The 23,416-nt window shown below is 39.0% G+C and overlaps 1 protein-coding gene across 4 annotated transcripts in view; it reads left to right on the top strand.

Annotated features, from left to right (window-relative positions):
* The window catches only part of RAB6A (RAB6A, member RAS oncogene family), an 85,437-nt gene that overhangs the window by 31,985 nt on the left and 30,036 nt on the right, over positions 1–23,416 (top strand). For 2 of the 4 annotated variants that reach the window (NM_002869.5, NM_001243719.2), the window contains exons 3-6: positions 8,191–8,244; positions 10,200–10,305; positions 12,728–12,839; positions 21,577–21,670. In NM_002869.5, the coding sequence (NP_002860.2) occupies positions 8,191–8,244; positions 10,200–10,305; positions 12,728–12,839; positions 21,577–21,670 (366 nt within the window). Of the gene's footprint in view, positions 1–8,190; positions 8,245–10,199; positions 10,306–10,371; positions 10,478–12,727; positions 12,840–21,576; positions 21,671–23,416 lie in introns of all 4 variants that reach the window. The other 2 variants (NM_198896.2, NM_001243718.2) reach the window with 2 other exon arrangements.

Genomic DNA, 23,416 nt, shown 5'->3' with positions numbered 1-23,416 from the left:
TAATGGAATGGTGTGAACAATTAAATGCTAACTAATTAGATGACAGGTAAAATGGACAAATTCCAAGAAAGACACAGTTTACTAAAACTATCTCAAGAAGAAATAGAAAATCGGAATATATATCTAATAAGTAGAGAGAATTAGTAATAAAAAAAACTGCCCACATAGAAAATCCCAGCATCAGATAATTTCATTGGTCAATTCTATGAAACATTTAGAGAACAACACCAATACTTTGTAAAACTCTTCTGAAAAATAGAAGAGGACCCACCTCATTCTGTGAGGTCAGTTACTCTAATATTCAACCCAGACAGAGATATCAAAATTAAACTACAGACCAATATCCCCTATGAATATAGACACAAAAATTGTCAATAAAATACAACCAAACTGAATCCAGCAACATGTTAAAAAAGATATACACTATTATTTTTATTTCATTTATTATTATTATTATTATTATTATTATTATTATTATTTAAACAAAGACAGATTTGCTATGTTGCCCAGGCTGGTATTGAACTCCTGGGCCCAAGCAACCCTTTCACCTCGGCTTTCCAAAGTGCTGGGATTACAGGCATGAGCCACCACACCTGACCTATGTGTCATTTAACAAGTGGAATATACAAAAAGCAATAAACATAATACATTATTTGAATAAAATAAAGGACAAAATCACATGATCATTTGAATGTACACATAAAAAGCATTTGACAAAATCCAGCAGCGTTTCATGATAAAAACATACAACAACAAGCTAGGAATAGAAGGAAACTTCAAAATGGTAATGAGCATCCATAAAAATGCCACATCTTATATACTTAATGTGAAAGGCTGAACGCTTTCTAAGATCAGGAACAAGTAAGGATGTCTGCCCTCACAACCTACACAGTTTCAATACCAAAAATCAAAGAACAAACTAAAAGGAATAAATTAGTAATCTTAAGAGCAAGTACTTTGAGACACTAAGCACACTGTAAATCTTTACCATGTTAACTCTTTAAAATTTTTTTTATTACCACTACTTTTCAGTTATGAAATGTTTTTGTGAAACAATTGGGGAGCATAGATTTAAACTGCCTTGTTAAATGAATTAAAAAAATTTTAAGTTAAAAAAAGAAAACAAGTTACTCTTAATTTACTTATCCATTTTATATGTATTGTAGTTAGCATAAAAACTTGATTTCATTTGTCATTCTATAGATTAAAGAAAAAAACTTGATTTCAATTGCTTTGTCTTTGTAATATAGCAAATGTTAATCTGATTAAGGCTGTCACTCATTAACTGCTGCTGTCTTGATTATTAAACCATTTTTATTTTTCAGAAACCTTTTTAGGGTAATCTTAAAATCTAAATCCTCTTAGTATGTATTTTTCCACATTTGAAGTATTTATTTCAGGAATATGGCTTCTGAATTGAATCTTCCTGAAAAACAAAAACATGGGCATTTCTTTTTTAGGAAAGCTATGTAATGAGCCTTAGAGTTGGAAGCACCTTTATTTATGTCTTAGTTCTACCATTTAGTAGTTGGATGGGTTTGGATCAATTATTAAATTTTTCAGAATCCATATTTTCACATCTGTAAAGTGAGAATCATAATCCCTATGGATGGTGACTCCATTCTTTTTTGGGGGAAAAAAAAGTTCTTTTTTTTTTTTTCCAAGAGATAGAGTATTGCTTTGTCGCCCAGGCTGGAGTGCAGTGGCATGATCATAGCTCATTGTCACCTTGAATTCTTGAGCTAATGGGTTTCTCCTGCCTCAGCCTCCTAAGTAGCTGGGACTACAGGTACACGCCACCACTCCCAGCTAATTAAAAAAAATTTTTTTTGTACAGATGGGTTTTTGCCATCTTGCCTAAGTCTTGTACTCAGGCTCAGGAGATCCTCCTGCCTCAGCCTCTCAAAGTGCTGGGATTACAGGGATGAGCCAGCATGCCTGGCCAAAAGCTCTATTCTTTTGTGATTATTACCATTTACCATTGAGAACAACATTGATTGTTTTATTTCTTTCTTTGAATACTTTAGCACTTCTTTTCATAGTAGTCCTCTTCATTATAACCTGTCAGCATTTTAGACAACTATAATGTTCACATAGACAATCTGCTAGCCTCCTGTACTTTTCGTTTCCATAATCTCAGACCTTCTCTGAAAATCATGTATTCTCTTCTCAGACCACAGTCTTGTATCCTTCCAATTTTTTTATTCAGGTACTTTTACTATAATAGTTTCTACTCCGGTGGTTCACATCAAAACCTTCAACCCATTAATTCCTCCATGTTATTTTTATTTTATTTTTTCATTTTTTAAAAATAATTTTTCTTCTAATTTTTTTTTTTTTAAGACAGGGTTTCACTCTGTCACCCAGGCTGGAGTGCAGTGGTGTGATCTTGACTCACTGCAGCCTCCATCCCCCCAGGCTCAAGCGATTCTCCCACCTCAGCCTCCTGAGTAGCTGGAACTACAGGTGTGCACCACTATGCCTTTTTTTTTTTTTTTTTTTTTTTTTGAGACAGAGTCTCACTCTGTCACCCAGGCTGGAATGCAGTGGCACAATCTCGGCTCACTGCAAGCTCCGCCTCCCAGGTTCACGCCATTCTCCTGCCTCAGCCTCCCATGTAGATGGGACTGCAGGCACCTGCCACCACGCCTGGCTAATTTTTTGTATTTTTAGTAGAGACAGGGTTTCACTGTGCTAGCCAGGATGGTCTCGATCTCCTGACCTCGTGATCCACCCGCCTCTGCCTCTCAAAGTGCTGGGATTACAGGCGTGAGCCACTGTGCCTGGGCTTTTTTTTTTTTTTTTGAGACGGAGTCTTGCTCTGTCGCCCAGGCTAGAGTGCAGTGGCTCAATCTTGGCTTACTACAACCTCTGCCTCCTGGGTTCAAGCGATTCTCCTGCCTCAGCCTCCCGAATAGCTGGGACTACACATGCGCACCACCACACCTGGCTAATTTTTGTATTTTTACTAGAGACGGGGTTTCACCATATTGGCCAGGCTGGTCTCAAACTCCTGACCTTGTGATCTGCCCACCTCTGCCTTCCAAAGTGCTGGGATTACAGATGTGAGCCACCATGCCCGGCCTTTTTTGTGTTTTTAATAGAGACAGGTTCTTGCCATGTTGCCCAGACTGATGACAAACTCCTGAGCTCAAGCAATCCGGCTGCCTCGGCCTCCTAAAGTGCTGGGATTATTGGCATGAGCCACCGCGCCTGGCCCTTCCATGTTGTTTTTAAACATCTGGTCCTGTGTCTTCTGTCTTACCTTTCTCCTTTTTTAGCTTAGACTCCATGGGAAATTCTTTAACTTTCTAGCCTCTTGATATGGTTTGGCTATGTCCCCACCCAAATCTCATCTTGAATTGTAACTCCCACAATTCCCACATGTTGTGGGAGAGATCCAGTGGAAGATAATTGAATCATTGGGGGTGGTTTCCCACATACTGTTCTCGTGGTAATGAATAAGTCTTACGAGATCTGATGGTTTCATAAAGGGAAACCCTTTTCGCTTGCTTCTGATTCTCTGTTGTTGCCTCCATGTAAGAAGTACCTTTCGCCTTCCACTATGATTGTGAGGCCTCCCCAGCCATGTGGAACTGCAAGTCCATTAAACCTCCTTTTCTTTATAAATTACCCAGTCTCGGGCATGTCTTTATCGGCAGCGCCAAAACAGACTAATACACTTCTCTTTGGTTCAATCACATATGCTTGACAAAATTCGTGTTATGAACCCAGTCATCTCATTTCTCCTCATTGGTTCTTGAATACATTAATGTTGCTAGTGTCAACTAGGTTATCAGTTTACCAAGCACTTTTTGGAGTAACTATTTCATACTAACTCTGTACTCCTCAAAAGCTAACTTTACCACTTTTACCACTCTTCTTTGACCCTTACTTTGAAGACCTTGCTTCTTAGAGAAATGGAAAGTATAAGGCAGGAATGCCCTTATTTATTTTTCTTACCACATCATCTAAGTACATGTAACAGTATTTGTACTAATCCTCTTTCATTCCAGTATACTGCAGTAAATGCCCTCCTCCTATCAAAAGCCAATCCCTAACTGTGCTAAAGCTTATCTTCTCTGGCATTTGTCATTCTCAACATCTTCATTATTCTTTATTTCCTGGAGTTTTTGTTATATATCAGGCACTATTCTGCATCCTGGGTATATAGCATACTGCAGTGAACAAATCAACCAACCTTACTCTCATGGAACTTCTAGTGGGGAGAAGTTGGACATTTAACAGTTAATCAAATAATTTATTAATCTAGTCAAAAGTGCTGTAAAGAAATACATTTAGGAGGCCAGGCGCAGTGGCTCACGCCTGTAATCCCAGCACTTCGGGAGGCCAAGGCGGGCGGATCACAAGGTCTGGAGATCGACACCATGTTGGCTAACACGGTGAAACCCCGTCTCTACTAAAAATACAAAAAATTAGCCGGGCCTGGTGTCGGGCGCCTGTAGTCCCAGCTATTCAGGAGGCTGAGGCAGGAGAATGGCGTGAACCCCGGGAGGCGGAGGTTGCGGTGAGCTGAGATTGAGCCACTGCACTCCAGCCTGGGTGACAGAGCGAGACTCCGTCTCAAAAAAAAAAAAAAAAAAACGAAATGCATTTAGGAAAACATGATCTTAGCATGATAATGATTGTGGCCTTTATAGTACTACCTAGCTGCATAATTTGTAAGTCACAATTTGCTATTTTCAGAGAAGGAAGAGAGTACTGTTCTTGACTTATATACTATAAAATTTACTTTTAGTCAGTTTGTGATGTTGCCTATGTATATCAACAAATGTACTTTGATGTTCGAACTAATATATTCTCAAGTGAATGTTTTTGTCATGGAAGAGAAAATGAAGTGTTCAGTGGGATATCTTTTTCTTTGCTTTTGGAGTCACCTTTTGAATTGCTGTTGTTTTACATGCTTTACATAGCTGTTCTTGAGTGTGAACTTTCTGCAGCCTATATGCAGTAATCCCATATTAAGGCAAAGTGAATGAGAAATGCATAAGCGTTTATATGGAATTTGAGAAACAGTTCAATTTTTTCTTTAAAAACCTATTTGTTAGAAATATTTGCTGTACAGGAATTGACATACATAAAGTTTGTGGTGTTTTATTTATGTAACTAAAAAAAATCTTATATATTGAAATGCAGGGTACTGGTTTACAGTATATAGATATGTGGGTAGGAGTGGTGAGAGTCATTTTCTTAGCCTTTATTGAGTATCTTATCTAAAAATATTGACATCGTACCATAATATCTTTTATTGTCCTTTTCCTGGTTTTTTTCTCTCATACTACTCTCTAATATACTATTTTACTTAATTAGCTTATTGTTTGTCTTAGCAGACTGTAACCTTTGCAAGGGCATAGATTCTTGTCTGCTTTTTATTCTTTTACCACAGGATTCTCAGCTGCTAATGATGGTGCCTAGTAGGCAATCAATAAATATTTCTTTCGGCCAGGCGCAGTGGCTCATGGCTGTAATCCCAGCACTTTGGGAGGCCGAGGTGGGCAGATCACTTGAGGTCAGGAGTTCGAGACCAGCCTGGCCAACATATAGTGAAACCCCGTCTCTACTAAAAAATACAAAAATTAACTGAGTGTGGTGGTGCACACCTGTAGTCTCAGCTGCTTGGGAAGCTGAGGCAGGACAATTGCTTGAACCTAGGAGGCGGAGGTTGCAGTGAGCCAAGATCACCCCACTGCACTCCAGCCTGGGTGACAGAGCAAGACTCTGTCTCTCAAAATAAATAAATAAAATAAAATAAAATAAGTAAAATAAATCTTTCTTTTTTTCCCCCCCAGTATTTGGAAGGAATAGAGTTCAATAAATATTCCTGATGAATGTGGACAGGTGTACATGATTTTTAAATGTGTTCCGTCCAATTTGGGTAGAGACTAACTGCATGTTTGTTCATCACTCTAGTACCTTACACAGTACTTGCAAGTACGTGCTTAATAAATATTTGATGAGCAAGCTGGGCACATTGGCTCATGCCTATAATCCTGGCACTTTGGGAGGCCGAGGTCGGGGGGAATCACTTGAGGCCAGGAGTTCGAGACCAGCCTGTCCAACATGACAAAACCCCATCTCTACTAAAAATACAAAAAGTAGCTGGGCTTGGTGGTGAATGCCTGTAATCCCAGCTACTTGAGAGGCTGAGGCACTAAAATTGCTTGAACCCAGGAGGCAGAAATTGCGGTGAGCCGAGATCACGCCACTGCACTCCAGCCTGGGCGACTGAGCGAGACTCTGTCTCTAAATAAATAAATAAATAAATAATCGATGAACGAATAAATGAGAACTAAATGGGGCAATGTGTATAAATCGGCACTTAGTAGATAATCAATTTATGTAATTTACTGTAGCTTTCATTCTTGAATATATGTAAAAACATGTAAAGACTTATCAACATTGCATTGATTTTTCATATAAAGATATTATCTTTAGGCAGGGTGTAGTGGCTCATGCCTATAGTCCCAGCGTGTTGGAAGGCCAAGTGGGGAAGATCTCTTGAACCTAGGGGTTCCAGACTAGCCTGGACAACATGGCAAAACCCTGTCTCTATAAAAAAATACAGAAATTAGTGGGGCATGGTGGCATGCACCTGTAGTCCCAGCTACTCGAGAGGATTGCTTGAGCCAGGAGGTTGAGGCTGCACTGAGACAAAATCACACCCCTATATACCAGCTTGGGCAAGAGTGTGAGACTGTCTCAAAAAAAAAAAAAAAAAAAAAAAATATATATATATATATATATATATATATATATATATATACACACACACATATATATTTGAATTTTATTTACGGAAGCATCAGAAAAGAATAAAATACTTAGGAACAAATTTAACAAACAGCATAAGACTATACAAAACACTGCTGGGAGAAATTAAAGGAGACACATGTATTAGTTTGTTCTCATGCTGCTAATAAAGAGATAACCCAAGACTGGGTAATTTATAAAGGAAAGAGGTTTAATAGACTCAAGTTCCACATGGCTGGGGAGGCCTCAGGAAACTTACAATCATGGCAGAAGGGGAAGCAAACATGTCCTTCTTCACATGGCAGCAACAAGGAGAAGCACAGAGCAAAGAGAGGGGAAATCCTTTTATAAAACCATCAGATCTCGTGAGAACTCAACTATGACACACACAAAATTCTATTTTTCTGCTAACAGAAATAAAATCCCCAACTGATGGACCACTTTTCTGATCTAGTTTTTGATTGTTTTTTAGGAACTTAAAATTCTTAGTGACTCATATTTTAAAATGCACAGACTCAGTTTCTGTTTTAAGGAATATGGCACAAAGATATTTAGGGAAAAAGTATGTATGTACACGCACATATATACATAGTATATGTGCACACAAACATTAATGAGGTGGTAAAACTTCTAAAATAGAGTCCATATCAACATCCTCTTTCTGGAGTCTGTCTTTCTTCCATTCTTTTTATTTATCTCCCCTAATTAATACTGGACTGTTTTTTAACTTGTATACTTTTTTTCCTTTCTTTTTTGTAGTCTGCCTTCTTTCTATTCTCTTATTATTTCACCATTTTCTCTTGATAGGGAAAACAGCAGCCAGGCAATAGAACTTTACATTTGTTTTCACCACAGAAGGAAGCTATCATTGTGTGGTACAGAGGAAAACTTGTTTTCCTTACCTAATGACTTTTATTTTATATTGGAAAAATCATGTCTCTTATGGAAAGTTATGATGTTTGTGAGTCTCTGGCTGTCTATGGCATTAGGACAGTTGACAATATATCAACAGTATTTTATAAAACTGCTCTTGGGGCAGATACTTACCATTCTGAGTGGAGAACAATCAGATACTCAAACTAAAGTTCAAATACAAATATTTAAACCAAAGTTGCCATTGTCTTGTTATTTGTAAAATGAGAAAAGTAGGGATGAGAATAAGCTACCTGGCAGGAATGTATAAAGATTAGAGATGATCATGTAAAAGGCTTAAAACAATCTCTGATATGAAGCAAGTGCTGAATACATGAAAATCATTATCACTGGAAATTTTGTTTGTCCTTAATTGTCCTTAATTGACTATGTTGTATTGATTTGTTTATTCATTATTTCTTCCACAATCATGAATCCCATTTGAATCCTAAACTGCTGGCCACCATTAAACTTATTATTTGTTAACTTCTTTGTTTTGTTTTACAGGCAACAATTGGCATTGACTTTTTATCAAAAACTATGTACTTGGAGGATCGAACAGTGAGTAATATTTTCAGTGTGCAATTTTCTGCAACATTCCAGGTTAGAAAACTGCAATCAAAGTTATCAATGATTGTCACCATAAGAAGTACTTAGCAAAGTTACCAAAGATAGTTTACAGTTGTTGAGAAAAACTCTTATTACCGAGTGAGTAGTACTTGGCAGTCATCTTGATTTGGAAAAATGAAAACAAAGAGCTTTACAGAGAATTAAAGGAGAATTTTTATGAAGAAATTAAACCTGCTAAAGACCTTCTAAATGCCACCCTTGAGGCATTCAAAAAGATTTCAATTTGTGAACTTCAAGATTTTTTTTGTCAGGATAGGATGCGTATCAAAGTGACTGACAAAAAAGAAGTTATGTGGGCAGGGTGCGGTGGCTCACACCTGTAATCCCAGCACTTTGGGAGGCTGAGGCAGGTGGATCATCTGAGGTCAGGAGTTTGAGACCAGCTTGGCCAACATGATGAAACCCCATCTCTATTAAAAATACAAAAAATTAGCCAGGCGTGGTGGCGGGCGCCTATAATCCCAGCTACTTGGGAGGCTGAGGCAGGAGAATCGCTTGAATCCAGGATGCAGAGGTTGCAGTGAGCTGAGATTGCGCCATTGCACTCTAGCCTGGGCAACAAGAGCGAAACTCCGTTGCAAAAAAAAAAAAAAAAAGTAATGTGTATTTATTTGTTGGATTTTTGTCTTTCATCCTTTGGAATGTTTTCTTTAAATACAGTGTAAAATCTGTATTCTAGCCCACTACCCCTTGAAGAGATACTTGTCACCTAAACAGTGAATATCTTAAATGCAGTACTTTGAGACCTGCACCCAAAAACATTATTTAATTTCCAGTGTTATTTCTTAGGTGTTTTTTTTTTCCTGAATATTCTCTTTTATGTTTTGATATATAGCATGTCATTTCTTAAAATTTGAAAGCGGCCAGGTGTGGTGGCTCACGCCTGTAATCCCAGCACTTTGGGAGGCCAGGATGGACAGATCACCTGAGGTCAGGAGTTGAAGACCAGCCTGGCCAACATGGCGAAACCCCATCTTTTCTAAAAATACAAAAATTAGCTGGGCGTGGTGGCGGGCGCCTGTAATCCCAGCTACTCGGGAGGCTGAGGCAGGAGAATCGTTTGAACCCGGGAGGCAGAGGTTGCAGTGAGCCGAGATCACACCACTGCACTTCAGCCTGAGCGACAAGAATGAGAGTCTGTCTAAAAAAAAAAAAAAAAATTTGAAAGCTTGGAAACGACTTTATCATGATGCAAGAACTTGATACTTGTTTTCAGGCTTTTCTTCCTGTAATATAGATATGGATAGTACGTAAAGACATTTTTATGTAGGGCTGCAAAAAGATCTTCCTCCTTTTTGTTACATTATACACACACACGCGTGCATGCGTGCGCGCACACACTCGCATGTTCTGGGGAAAATGTATGGGAGAAATACAAGCACGGTAGTTAAAAAACAGGTTTGAAAGTATTCTAGACCCAATAGGAAAGAGACACATTTTAGCTTGAGAGAAGCTTTCAAAGAAGCATTAATTCCTTTACTCTGATAGCTTAGGCTGCTCATTGACATTTACCTTAGGTTTTTTTGTTTTGTTTTGTTTTTTTCTCTATTTAACCATCAACAGTCTACTTTTTGCCACTTGAAAGGCATAGGGATTCAAACAGGTTTTAGGTAGGGAAAAAGGGAAGCCATATTTCTGATTCTGTGAAATTTTTCCCAGTGGCATTTTCCAGTCATTTATGTTTGGAGTATGCAAATTTTTAATATTTCTCCCTTTTGAAAAAGGAGTTTTGTGTTATTTTCATTCCTCACTCCCTGCAACCTCTTGCATGAGTCTTCTTTCTACTTCCTTCCCACCCTCTCCCTTTTACAAAAAACATTGTTTCTTTTTTCTTTTTAGTATTAGTTTGGTTTTTTTTTTTTTATTTATTTTTTCCCATCTCACAGATCAGGCTTCAGCTGTGGGATACTGCGGGTCAGGAACGTTTCCGTAGCCTCATTCCCAGTTACATCCGTGATTCTGCTGCAGCTGTAGTAGTTTACGATATCACAAGTAGGTATATTGCAACGGGTTGACCTTTCTTATTTTTCTTGCTTGTTTGACTGATTTTGTTGTTAGGTACGATTGCAATTATGGGACACAGCAGGTCAAGAGCGGTTCAGGAGCTTGATTCCTAGCTACATTCGTGACTCCACTGTGGCAGTTGTTGTTTATGATATCACAAGTGAGTGGAGGGAATTATGCATTTCTAATCTTCTTTCAACCTTTAGCTTAGCTGCATGCATGTTCTTGTCTTGTGCTTGTTTTCCTTACTGGCATGTAAAAATAAGTTTTATCATAGTAAATTACATACCAGCCAGGTCAGAAATATTTGCTTTGGTGTTTATACCAATATGCTTTATATGTAACTGTGCCAGGTTTTTTGCCCCAGAAATTTTCTTTTGGGTCCAACTATGAATCCTCTTCAAGGGTTTCTTAGTATCCTGTTATTCGTAAACCATACCATAATTATAGTTGGAGGAATGTTTCCTTGATCTCAGATTTCTCTAAAATAAAATGATCTGCATTTAAGTCTCTTGCCAGGTTTTCCAAATCCTCCAAGCTTTCTATTGAGGCTATTACAAGCTTCTGCTAGCCAGCTTTTCTCTGCTTTCCCCTTCCAGCCATTCTCTCTCTGTAGAGGAAGACAGAGAAAACATAATGTACAGTTTTCTATTAATCTTTTTTATTTGAATCATATTTTGGTTCTGTGACTGATTTATTTACTTTGTTGCTAACAAATTACACTTTCATTTCTCTCCAAGAAAAAAATTTTAAATAGGAGGTGAAACAACTAGTAGTCTTTTTCTTTTTTCTAAAGATTGAATAATGCCTGTGGCCTTTTAAGTGATTGTAAATTTTCCATGAAGCATTGGTGACTGACAAGAAAATGCTTTCTGATTGAAATTGCCTTTGTAAATTGGTTTATGACATATATTAGGCAATATTAAACATTATTACATGTAGTGGTTCATAACTTATAGGAAAACCAGGGTCTTGAACTCCTGGGTTCAAGTGATCCTCCTGCCTCAGCCTTCTAAAGTGCTAGGTTTAGGCCGGGCACAGTGGCTCACGCCGGAAATCCCCATATTTTGGGTGGCCAAGGCAGGCGGATCACCTGAGGTCAGGAGTTTGAGACCAGCCTGACCAACGTGATGAAACTCCATCTCTACTAAAAATGCAAAATTAGCCAGGTGTGGTGGTGCATGCCTGTAATCCCAGCTACTTGAGAGACTGAGGCAGGAAAACCTCTTGAACCTGGGAGGCGGAGGTTGCAGTGAGCCAAGACCGTGCCATTGCACTCCAGCCTGGGCAACAAGAACAAAACTCTGTCTCAACTACAACAACAACAACAAAAACTAAAGTGCTAGGGTTACAGGCATGAACCATTGTGCCCAGCCCAGTATCTGGGGCTTTCTTTTTAAATTTTTAAAAAATGTGTACCACACTACACAGATGTAGTATCTTGGGCTAAAAAAAATCTTAAATAGACAAAGGAACTATTCATTTGGACTAGTAATACTGTTACTATGCATTCTTGCATATCTCCTCAATTAGGAATTGTTATCTAATAACGAATAATTGTGCTGGCAAAATTAGAAGATTGCATTCAAGGACTTTTTTTGAGATAGGTGCTATATGCAGTCTTTCTTCCTTTGCACCTTTACTTTGGGTTGCTGTTTGTTTAAAAAAAAGAGGTATGTTCATATTGTGCATTGACACGTTTTGTAGCTTTAAAATGTTTGTGCTTACTTTAACCACAGCAAGTGAAACCTGGTGTATTTTTTTTTAAATCCACAAATGTGATTCAAATATTAGTACGTTGTTTTCTTTAGCTGCTGTAAGAAGTGTTGAAGTACTCTACTTAGAATCCAACACTAGAAAAGATAAATTTTGTTACAAGTGTTTCTGATGCATTAAACAAATAAACTTTAGGTTAAAGTGATCACAAACTGAGGAAGCAGTGCAAACAGTGGTGTTGAAAGCTATTGAAAGGCTTTACAGATTTTCTGGATGTGTTGGGACTTACTGGCTGACATACTTTGGAAAATGCTTTCTTTGTCATGTTTGGTATGTGTAAGTGATCAAAAAAGCATTGTGGCAATGTGACACCATATTATCTGCCATAGCTGTCCTTATATTTCAAAAAGTTGTTTTTTTTTCAATTAAATACTACATTGTACTCATTTGATCATGTTCAAAAAATTTTTAAACTACTCTAAAAGGAACCTTGAAGATTTTATTCTTGTAATTTGTTTAAATTGCTGACAGTTGTAATCAGATAAAATGGAGTTATGTTGCAGGCACATTAAAAGTGGGGTACTAATGTGCCAGCCCCCTTCCAACTTCCAGGGCTTTTTTGGAGGGAGGTGCCCACCACCTGGGGAGGCATTTTTCAGCAACACTAATCTCTCTGTCTACCCTCCTATACTAGATGTTAACTCATTCCAGCAAACTACAAAGTGGATTGATGATGTCAGAACAGAAAGAGGAAGTGATGTTATCATCATGCTAGTAGGAAATAAAACAGATCTTGCTGACAAGAGGTATGGAGTTATTTTATATGTGTGTAATGTTTGATTTCTGTGATGCAGCCTTTTATTTTTGTTCACTGAGAAATTGTTTTGAAAGGAGACATGCTTAATCCTTAAGTTTACGTCCTCCCCTGCTTTTCTTTAGCATGGGAACCTCAAATATAAATGTAAATATTAAACAGCCAGTCCTTAAGGGAAATGAATTTTATTTTGTTTAAGCCCATGTGTAAATAACTCTTGTGCAAGTTTGTTTAGACATGAAGCCAGTAAATATTTTGCTTTTTTTAGATCTCATAAGTATGAAAAGTGTTTTGTTAAAGAGCAAGCCATTTTGGAAAAACCTTATCTTTAAAAATTGTTCATAATGATTAAATGCACACTCTTTTCTTAGTAGTCTTCTTATAAAACATTCATTATAATTCAGTGGTGTGGATTTTTGTTTTTTGGTTGTTGGTTTTTAATTGTGTGGCTGAGCCAGACTGTGTAGTTGCACTGAATAGCTTGATTGTGATACCTTAGTCAAATGAGCAAAGCGATATTCAAGTCACAGGATGCAAAATATATTAACATTCACTGTAGGACCCATGGCTTGAATATTTGCTTTCAGCATTCTTAAGCGATTTACTGCATATTCTTTCTGCTTTAAATAGTTTTGACCATACTACTTAATAGTAAGAGCTTTTACTATTTATTTGTTTATTCATGAGATGGATATTGAAATTCGGGTAATGAACTTGTGATATTAATTCAAGTGTTGCAAAGAAAGCCAGTGTTAAAAGACTTGTGGAGATATGAAGCCCATTTCTGCACATGGCACCTCAGTTAGAATTGGTAGTACAGGCCGGGTGCGGTGGCTCACAACTGTAATCCCAGCACTTTGGGAGGCCAAGGACGGTGGAACACGAGGTCAGGAGTTCAAGACCAGCCTGGCCAAGATGGTGAAATCCCGTCTCTACTAAAAATACAAAATTAGCTGGGCGCTGTGGCATGCACCTGTAATCCCAGCTACTCGGGAGGCTGAGGCAGGAGAACTGCTTGAACCAGGGGAGCGGAGGTTGCAGTGAGCTGAAATTGTGCCATTGCACTCCAGCCTGGGCAACAGAGTGAGACTCCGTCTCAAAAAAAAAAGAATTGGTAGTACAGTTGCAAAAAAGTCTTTCTTAATTTAAAAGTAAATTCAAAGTGATTGCATCTTTTCTTTATAAAAATATGTTTTGGACATGAACTGCTATGAAGGAAATTTTCACTATTTTATTTATCCTCACTCTAGAGACTTTGTAGGTACTTTTCTTTTTTTGGGATGGAGTCTCATTCCGTCGCCCAGGCTGGAATGCAGTGGTGTGATCTCAGCTCATTACAACCTCCACCACCTGGGTTCAAGCGATTCTTCTGCCTCAGCCTCCTGAGTAGCTGGGATTACAGGCGCCTGCCACCATGTCCTGCAAATTTTTGTATTTTTAGTAGAGACGGGGTTTCACCATGTTGGCCAGGCTGATCTTGAACTCCTGACCTCGTGATCCACCCGCCTCAGCCTCCCAAAGTGCCAGGCGTGAGCCACCGCGCCCTGCCAGTACCTTTATTTTATTTATTTATTTATTTTTGAGTTGGAGTCTCGCATTGTCACCTGGGTTGGAGTGCCATGGCGCGATCTCGGCTCACTGCAACCTCTGCCTCCCAGGCTCAAGCAATTCTCCTGCCTCAGCCTCCCGAGTAGCTGGGATTACTGATGCCTGCCACCATGCCCGGCTCATTTTTTTGTATTTTTAGTAGAGACGAGGTTTCACTATGTTGGCCAGGCTGGTCTCAAACTCCTGACCTTGTGATCCGCCTGCCTTGGCCTTCCAAAGTGCTGGGATTACAGGCGTGAGTCACCGCGCCCGGCCTCTTCATTTTTAAATAGAAAAATTGTATATCTGAATTGTTTCCCTTTATAGCCAGAGTTATCTGAGGAGGATGCTTATAAGGATTTTTTTATTGCTTAATATTTCAGTTGTGTGCACAAATGGTAGAAACTTGTCAAATTATATGTGTGTATATATATATATATATATATTTTTTTTTTTTTTTTTTGAGATGGAGTTCTGCTCTTGTTGCTTAGGCTGGAGTACAATGGCACAATCTTGGCTAACTGCAACCTCAGTCTCCCAGGCTTAAGTGATTCTCCTGCCTCAGCCTCCCGAGTAGCTGGAATTACAAGAGCTTGCCACCACATCTGGCTAATTTTTGTATTTTTTAGTAGTGACGGAGTTTTCCCATGTTGGCCAGGCTGGTCTCGAACTCCTGACCTCAGGTGATCCACCCGCCTCGGCTTCCCAAAGTGTTGGGATTGCAGGCATGAGCCAACAAGCCCTATCTGAAATTATATTTATAATAATTTTTCTTTAAGGTAACATTTGTCAGTTGCGTTGAAATTACCATCTTTCTTGGTAATCTTTGCCAGACTATCATCTCTCAACTGTTCACATTTAAAAGAATTACAGCTTGTTCGTTCCACTAAAATGATTTTCAAATGGGTAAAAGACTTAATTTTTTAAAGCATCTTTATATTTTGGGCTTTTATAAGCATGACATGAAATCCTGAAGCCATAAAGGGAATGATTGATAAGTTTGAATACATAGAGAGCATATTCTCCTATTAGATTGACTATGATTCAGAAGATTTAAATGCACACAGTATTTTCTTTTTTTTTTTTTTTTGAGACGGAGTCTCGCTGTCTCCCAGCCTGGAGTGCAGTGGCGCAATCTTGGCTCACTGCAAGCTCCCCCTCCCGGGTTCACGCCATTCTCCTGCCTCAGCCTCCTGAGTAGCTGGGACTAGGCACCCGCCAGCATGCCCGGCTAATTTTTTGTGTTTTTAGTAGAGACGGGGTTTCACCGTGTTAGCCAGGATGGTCTTGATCTCCTGACCTCGTGATCCACCTGCCTTGGTCTCCCAAAGTGCTGGGATTACAGGCGTGAGCCACCACACCCAGCCCTGAAAGCCAAATGAAAATAAATGTTTTAAGGAGAAGACAGTTATTAACTATGCCAAATGCTCTGTAAGATCAAACCAAATGAAGACTGAGAATTAACCATTGGATTTAGAAGTTTGGAGGTTATTAATGTTGTTGACAAGTAGTCACACTGAAGTGGTGGGGTTGAAAATCTCACTACAGTAGGTTCAAGACAGAATACCCCTCTCACCTCTGAAGTTATAAGATAAGATGAACAAGATGACCCTATTTATATTAATAATAGTAAAAGAAAAATCTGGCCAGCGTGGTGGCTCACACCTCCCAGCACTTTGGCAATCCGAGGCAGGCAGATCACTTGATGCCAGGAGTTCGAGACCAGCCTGGCCAACATAGCGAAACCCTGTCTCTACTAAAAATATAAAAATTAGCCAGGTGAAGTGGCACATGCCTGTAATCCCAGCTACTTGGGTGGCTGAGACATGAGAATCACTTGATCCCAGGAGGGAGAGGTCAGTGATCTGAGATCGTGTCACTGCACCCCAGCATGGGTGACAGAGTGAAACTGTCAAAAAAAAAAAAAGCCTCTATAATTAAAGCAATGTGGTCTTGCTGCATGAAAAGTTATGGAAAAGTAGAACAGAGTAGAAAAGCTAGCAACAGGCGAGCGTGGTGGCTCATGCCTGTAGTCCCAGCACTTTGGGAGGCCAAGGCAGGTGGATTACCTGAGGTCAGGAGTTTGAGACCAGCCTGGCCAACCTAGTGAAACCTCGTCTCTACTAAAAATACAAAAATTAGCCGGGCGTGGTGGCATGTGCCTGTAATCCCAGCTCCTCAGGAGGCTGAGGCAGGAGAATTGCTTGAGCCCAGGAGGTGGAGGTTGCCGTGAGCTGTGATTGTGCCACTGCACTCCAGCCTGGCTAACAGAGTGAGACTGTCTCAAAAAAAAAAAAGGAAAAGCTAGGAACAGACCCAGTTTCATATGGAAAATAAGTATGAAGGTGGTACCTCAAATCACTGGGGAAAATGAACTATGTAATAAATTGATTGGAGTAACTGGTTAAGTGTATAGAAAAGATAAAATTGGATCAAGTTCTCATATTACACTAGGACAAATTCTAAAGGGATTAGAGATTTAATTGTGAAAATAAAATAAGGACTAACTGAATTCTGGTTCTTAATGATACTAATGCTATGGCACAAAATAAGGGAAAATGTAAAGTTTGATTACTTAAAACATTATAAACAAAGCAAATGGCAAACTAGGGAAAAGTATTTGTAAATCGTATCAAAAATGGCTAATATCCCAAATAAAAAAGCCTCTAAAAATAGAGAAGAAAAAAGATAAACATCACTATAGAAAAATTGACTAGAAATATGAACGGTTCATGGAGAAAGTAACATAGCTCTTAATTATCTGAAAAGAAGCTCTGTCTTGCTCTTACTGAAGTACTGATTGAAACTGCACTGAGAAATATTTTTGCCTCAGATTCAGACTGCCAGAATTCCAAGTTTGTTGAAATCTTCTGATAGCAAGGCTATAAGGAAAACAGTTACTCTCATAAATTACTGAGGCAATGCAGAATGGTAATACTCCTATGGAGGAGAGAGAGTTGATTTTTGGCAATATCTAATATCGACATTTAGCCTTTGACCTGGAAATCCCACTTCTAGGAATCTCCTCAAGATACACTGGTAAGAGTACAAAAAGACATATGTACAAGTCTATTTCCTATAGCACTATTTGTAATACCTAGCACTATTTGTAATATCTAAAGACTGTAAACAACGCAGGTGCCCACAAAAGGAAAATGGTTTGACAAACTTACGAACATCCTTTTAAAGGAGTACTAGACAGGTACAAAAAGGAATGAAGAATGTATATATTACTATGGAGTGAATCTTCAGGGTATATGACTAAGTGAAAAAATGCAAGGTGAAGTAGTATGTAACATATGGTACAGTTTACTTAAGAGAGAAATACAGATGTATATACACATTACCTAAAGCAAAATGAGGACCCTACTGGGCTGCCATCCCAGCTGGACTGCTGCTGTGGAGCTCAGCATCAAGTACTTCCAGGAGAAGCTTCAGCAGGACCTAGAGGCAGAGCATGGTAGAGGTAGAGGATACAGCCCTCATACCACCGTGCTGTATGTCCATCTTTCAAGTCCTGGTGGTGCCCGCAGAGTTTGAAGGGAAGCCACTGCTTCAGAGATACCAGGTGGTAAATGCATGCCTAGTGGAAGTGTGCTCCTCTGCATCTATGCCTTTGAGCAGAAAGCCTTTGAGTCCCAATTAGTGGGCCCATGAGTGGCCAAAATGAGGGACTGGGACCTGTATAGCCGTTAAACTATAAATCAGGGCCAAAAAGGAAAGATAAATTATAAGTTTAAAGAAAATGGGCTAGGCATGGTGACTTACACCTCTATTCCCAAAGGAAGCTGAGGCAGAAGGATCATTTGAGGTCAGGAGTTCGAGGTTACAGTGAGCTACAATCCTGCCACCGCACTTATATGTGCAACAGAGCAAGACCTTGTCTCAAAAAAAAAAAAAAATTAACTTTTTTTTTTTCAAGACTGAGTCTCTCTCTGTTGCCCAGGCTGGAGTGCAATAGCACAACCTCGGCTCACTGCAACCCCCACTTCCTGGGTTTAAGTGATTCTCCTGCTTCAGCCTCCTGAGTAGCTGGGACTACAGGGATGCACCGCCACACCCAGCTAATTTTCATATTTTTAGTAGAGATGGGGTTTTATCATGTTGGCCAGGCTGGTCTTGAACTCTGACCTCAAATGATCCACCCGCCTTGGCCTCCCAAAGTGCTGGGATTACAGGTGTGAGCCACCACACCCGGCTAGATCTTAACTGTTTTTAGTAAACATGTTGGTGATGATGTTGGATATTGTTATTTCAAAATGATTGTCTGTATTCTGCATAAAATAAATGAATACTTTGCTTAATGATTGAGAACTGGCATTTTGGACACGGGAGATGGAAATACAGATATAAGATTAATAAAGTTAAATATAAAAAATATAAGCATGGGGGCCGGGCGCGGTGGCTCACGCCTGTAATCCCAGCACTTTGGGAGGCCAAGGCGGGTGGATCACGAGGTCCGGAGATCGAGACCATCCTGGCTAACACGGTGAAACCCCGTCTCTGCTAAAAAAAAAAAAACACAAAAAATTAGCCGGGTGTGGTGGCGGGAGCCTGTAATCCCAGCTACTCCGGAGGTTGAGGCGGGAGAATGGCGTGAACCTGGGAGGTGGAGCTTGCAGTGAGCCGAGATCGTGCCACTTCACTCCAGTCTGGGCGACAGAGCAAGACTCCGTCTCAAAAAAAAAAAAAAATATATATATATGTGTGTGTGTGTGTATGTATATATATGTGTATATATATGTATATATGTGTGTGTATATATATGTATATATGTATGTATATGTGTATATATGTATATATGTATATATATGTGTATATATGTATATATATGCATGAATTCATTACATTTTTTAGCATTTGAAAATTTTTAATATTTTCTAGCTCTGTCTACTGAAAAGATTTAAACCAGGAGGAATGAGCCCACATTACCACATGTAAATACGGTTTCTTTCCAAAGGAACCAGGGCTACTTGAAGAAGTGACAAATTAGGCATCTGGGCCAGAAAATGTAAACAGTGGGGCTGGAACATGTCATACCATAAATCAAAGAAGTTATTAAAGACCATTGAGGTTATGTCAGATTCAGGAGAGCCAACTCAAAGAAGCTCTACTGGTCAAACTGTAGGAAAACTTGAAAATCAGTAATTACTATAAAACATGTTTAAATCCACGAGTCATAATAATAATAGTAATAATAATAATAATAATAATAATATACTTAAGGAGAAAACTCATTGGTCCCCTTTGGAAGATGCCAGAGACTGACTCGAGCATTTATCCTCCTTTCCTCTCCCTCCCTCCGTCACTCCCTCCCTCCTTGTTCTAAGTACCTCAGGATAACCAAATAATTGAGAAAGTTTCTTTCTAAAGAAGTATTTAATTTGCTATAAAGGACATTGGAATAACTGGCAGTAAAGGACATTATTGGGATAATTGACAAGAATAAAACCTATAGATTCAATGATGGTATGATGTTGATGTTAATTCCCAGATTTAATAATTGTACTGTGGTTATATAAGAGAATGTCCTTGTTTTTAGGAAATTCACACTGCTGAAGTATTTAGGGCTAAAGGTCTGCAGATTGGCGGTTTACTCTCAAACAGTTTTTTAAAAGTGTTTCAGAAAATTTATATACACAGAGAGAATGAGAAGATAACACAAGCAAATGTAAAATCTTAACAGTTGGAGTGTTATGTAAGAGAATGTTCTTGTTTTTAGGGAGTGGAGAATTCTAGAATAATAATTTCTTGTAGGCAAGAAGGGAGTGGGATCTAATACATAGATGTAAGTTTTGAGAATAAGGACAACTCTTTCATAGTAATAGGACTAGAGGTAGGATATAAGGGCACACTTGCAAGTAAATGGAAGCTTGTGGAAATTCTCTTCCATTGCCCATTTTCTGTGTTGTAGGAAGCAGGGTTTGTCAGCTGATAGTTTAAATCTAGCTAATTAGAACATTTGTATATTTATGGAATACTTATCTGCCAGCTTAAGCATTAGGAATACCAATATAAATGACATAATCTTGCACTTGAGATCTCACAATTTGAGACATAGTGCTAATTGTAATGCATCACAAAATACCCTGTAAAGGTAATATTAAAGTATTAATATTTTGTATCTAGAGGCTTTACCATACATGTCTTTGACTCACTTACTTCACTTACAGAAATCCACAAAATCGGCTGGGCACGGTGGCTCACGCCTCTAATCCCAGCACTTTGGTAGGCTGAGATGGGTGGATCACCTGAGGTCAGGAGTTTGAGACCAGCCTGGCCAACATGGTGAAACTCTGTCTCTACTAAAAATACAAAAATTATTCAGGTGTGGTGGTGGGCGCCTATAATCCCAGCTGCTCAGGAGGCTGAGGCAGGAGAATCGCTTGAACCCAGGTGTTGGAGGTTGCAGTGAGCTGAGATCGCGCCATTGCACTCCAGCCTGGGTGACAAGAGCAAAACTGTCTCAAAAAAAAGAAAACCACAAAATCTAACCTAAGGAAATGATTTGCAGTGCACAAAATATTAAGCACAGATATTTAGGGCAACAATTTTCATAGTAGTGTAAAATTGGAAAGCAACTTGCATTCTAATAGTTTGGGAATGGTTATATAAATTATAGGAGCAAATTGACAGAAATTGTTTAGCCATAAAAATTGTTTTACACAAAGATTTGAATTTTAAGGCTAAAAGCCTGTGGTCTGATATTAAGGGAAAGAGGCAAGCTATTAAGCGTTTTTTGTTTTGTTTTGTTTTTAGCTTTTTCTTTTTTTGAGACAGGTTCTGTTGCCCAGACTGGAGTGCAGTGATGTGGTGGCCTAATAATGGCCTGCTGCAGCCTCAACATTCCTGGGCTCGAGCATCCTCAAGCTATTAAGTTTGTAAAAGTAAAAAAATTACAGGATGAGCCCAGTCAAGTGAAAGCAAATCAGTAACAAAAAAAAGTCTTTAAAAAAATGTTAAGTATACACACACAGAAACACACAAATTTCAAGAGTGTGGCAGATTAATGAATTTTTAAACTAATGTGACCTGTATAACCAGTCCTTATATCAAGGAAAGTTATTTTCAGAGCTTTCTTTATAATCTTTATAATACTGCCTCATGTCTCAAAAGTAAGAAGTTTGTTTGTTTCTTTACAGGCAAGTGTCAATTGAGGAGGGAGAGAGGAAAGCCAAAGAGCTGAATGTTATGTTTATTGAAACTAGTGCAAAAGCTGGATACAATGTAAAGCAGGTAAGTTGAGTTGAGGTTACCAAATTGAAAAAATATGAAATAATTGTGTGAGTATTCTATTCTCTGGTGTATAGGTTTCCTTCCACCTGGCAAGAGCAGGCCTTACAAACTAGCAGTATATTTTCAAACAGTGAAAAATATAAATGTGGCATAGTTTTTGGAAAAAGAGAAAAGACTTGCAAACTTCAGATCGTGGATAGAACTACTGCAAAGTGGTAAATCTACCATATTGTCACTACATTCCTACTACATTGCTTTAAAGGTAAATTTTCTTTTCTTTTTTTTTTTTTTTTTCTTTTTTGAGATGGAGTTTCGCTCTTGTTGCCGAGGCTTGAATGCAATGGCGTGATCTCGGCTCACTGCAACCTCCACCTCCTGGGTTCAAGCAGCTCTCCTGCCTCAGCCTCTCGGGTAGCTGGGATTACTGGCATGCGCCACCATGCCCAGCTAATTTTGTATTTTTAGTAGAGATGGGGTTTTTTTCATGTTGGTCAGGCTGGTCTCAAACTCCTGACCTCAGGTGATCCGCCTGCCTTGGCCTCCCAAAGTGCTGGGACAGGTGTGAGCCACCATGCCCGGCCGGTAAATTTTATTTCAGAGTTTGATGCCAAGACTGAGATAAATGAAAGCAAGTATTTACTGTCAGTAATGGTGTTCCACTTCTTGTTGTAAAAGTAAATTCTGGTTACTTTATCCTTAATAAAATGCTGGTGTTTGAACAGTGTTTACAACAGGTCTTTTTGGGGGAGGGCAGGAAAATATAGGGAGATGTCACATTATCAAGCCATTTTCTACAAGATAGGTCAGCCAGAGACTCACATGCTTAACTCTTCAAGGCTGTATATCATGTAGGGTAGTGGTCCCAGATTTATAAGATTTATGGACCAATAATTTTTTTTTTTTTTTGAGATGGAGTCTTGCTCTGTCGCCCAGGCTGGAGTGCAGTGGCGCGATCTCGGCTCACTGCAAGCTTCACCTCCCAGGTTCACGCCATTCTCCTACCTCAGCCTCCCGAGTAGCTGGGACTACAGGTGCCTGCATCACGCCTGGCTAATGTCTTGTATTTTTAGTAGAGACGGGGTTTCACTGTGTTAGCCAGGATGGTCTCAATCTCCTGACCTCGTGATCTGCCTGCCTCAGCCTCCCAAAGTGCTGGGATTACAGGTGTGAGCCACCACGCCCGGCCTAGACCAATAATTTTCTTAATTGAGGGTGATCAACAGAGGGTAACAGTAACATCATTTAAATAGTTAAAGCTTTAGGAAGAAGTCTTTATATTGTTTTTATATTTTTTAATTTATTTCCCTCCATGCCTTGAATCATAATGTAAGTAATATTGAATGATCACTGATTCTTTCCTCATTAACATATTGTTTCATGGTCATGGTTTGATACCTGTGCTCATGCTTTTGTTTCCTTTGCTTAGAATGTTCATTTTTTTTCCCTTTCCTAATTGTACTCCTTATAAGTTTCAGTTTAGATGTCAGCTCCTCAGCAACATTTTCTCTGACATTTCCCATCCTACCTCCTGTCTGTGACACCTGATTCTCTTATGTGTTTTCACCGACCTGATCTCAGCAAAAACAGTATCATTACTTACCATAGTATATTGAAAATCTCTCTCTCTCTCTCTCTCTCTCTCTCTCTCTCTCATCGGAATTATATATTCCCAGAACCTAGCAATGTGTATGGAACGTAGTAAGTGATACGTAACTGAACCCATAGGAGCCACAGACAGTTAAATAA

Source organism: Homo sapiens, chromosome 11 (genome assembly GCF_000001405.40).
Source record: "Homo sapiens chromosome 11, GRCh38.p14 Primary Assembly".
Taxonomy (NCBI): domain Eukaryota; kingdom Metazoa; phylum Chordata; class Mammalia; order Primates; family Hominidae; genus Homo; species Homo sapiens.
Note: the sequence above shows the minus strand (reverse complement) of the source record. Positions and strands in the feature narration are given on the sequence as shown.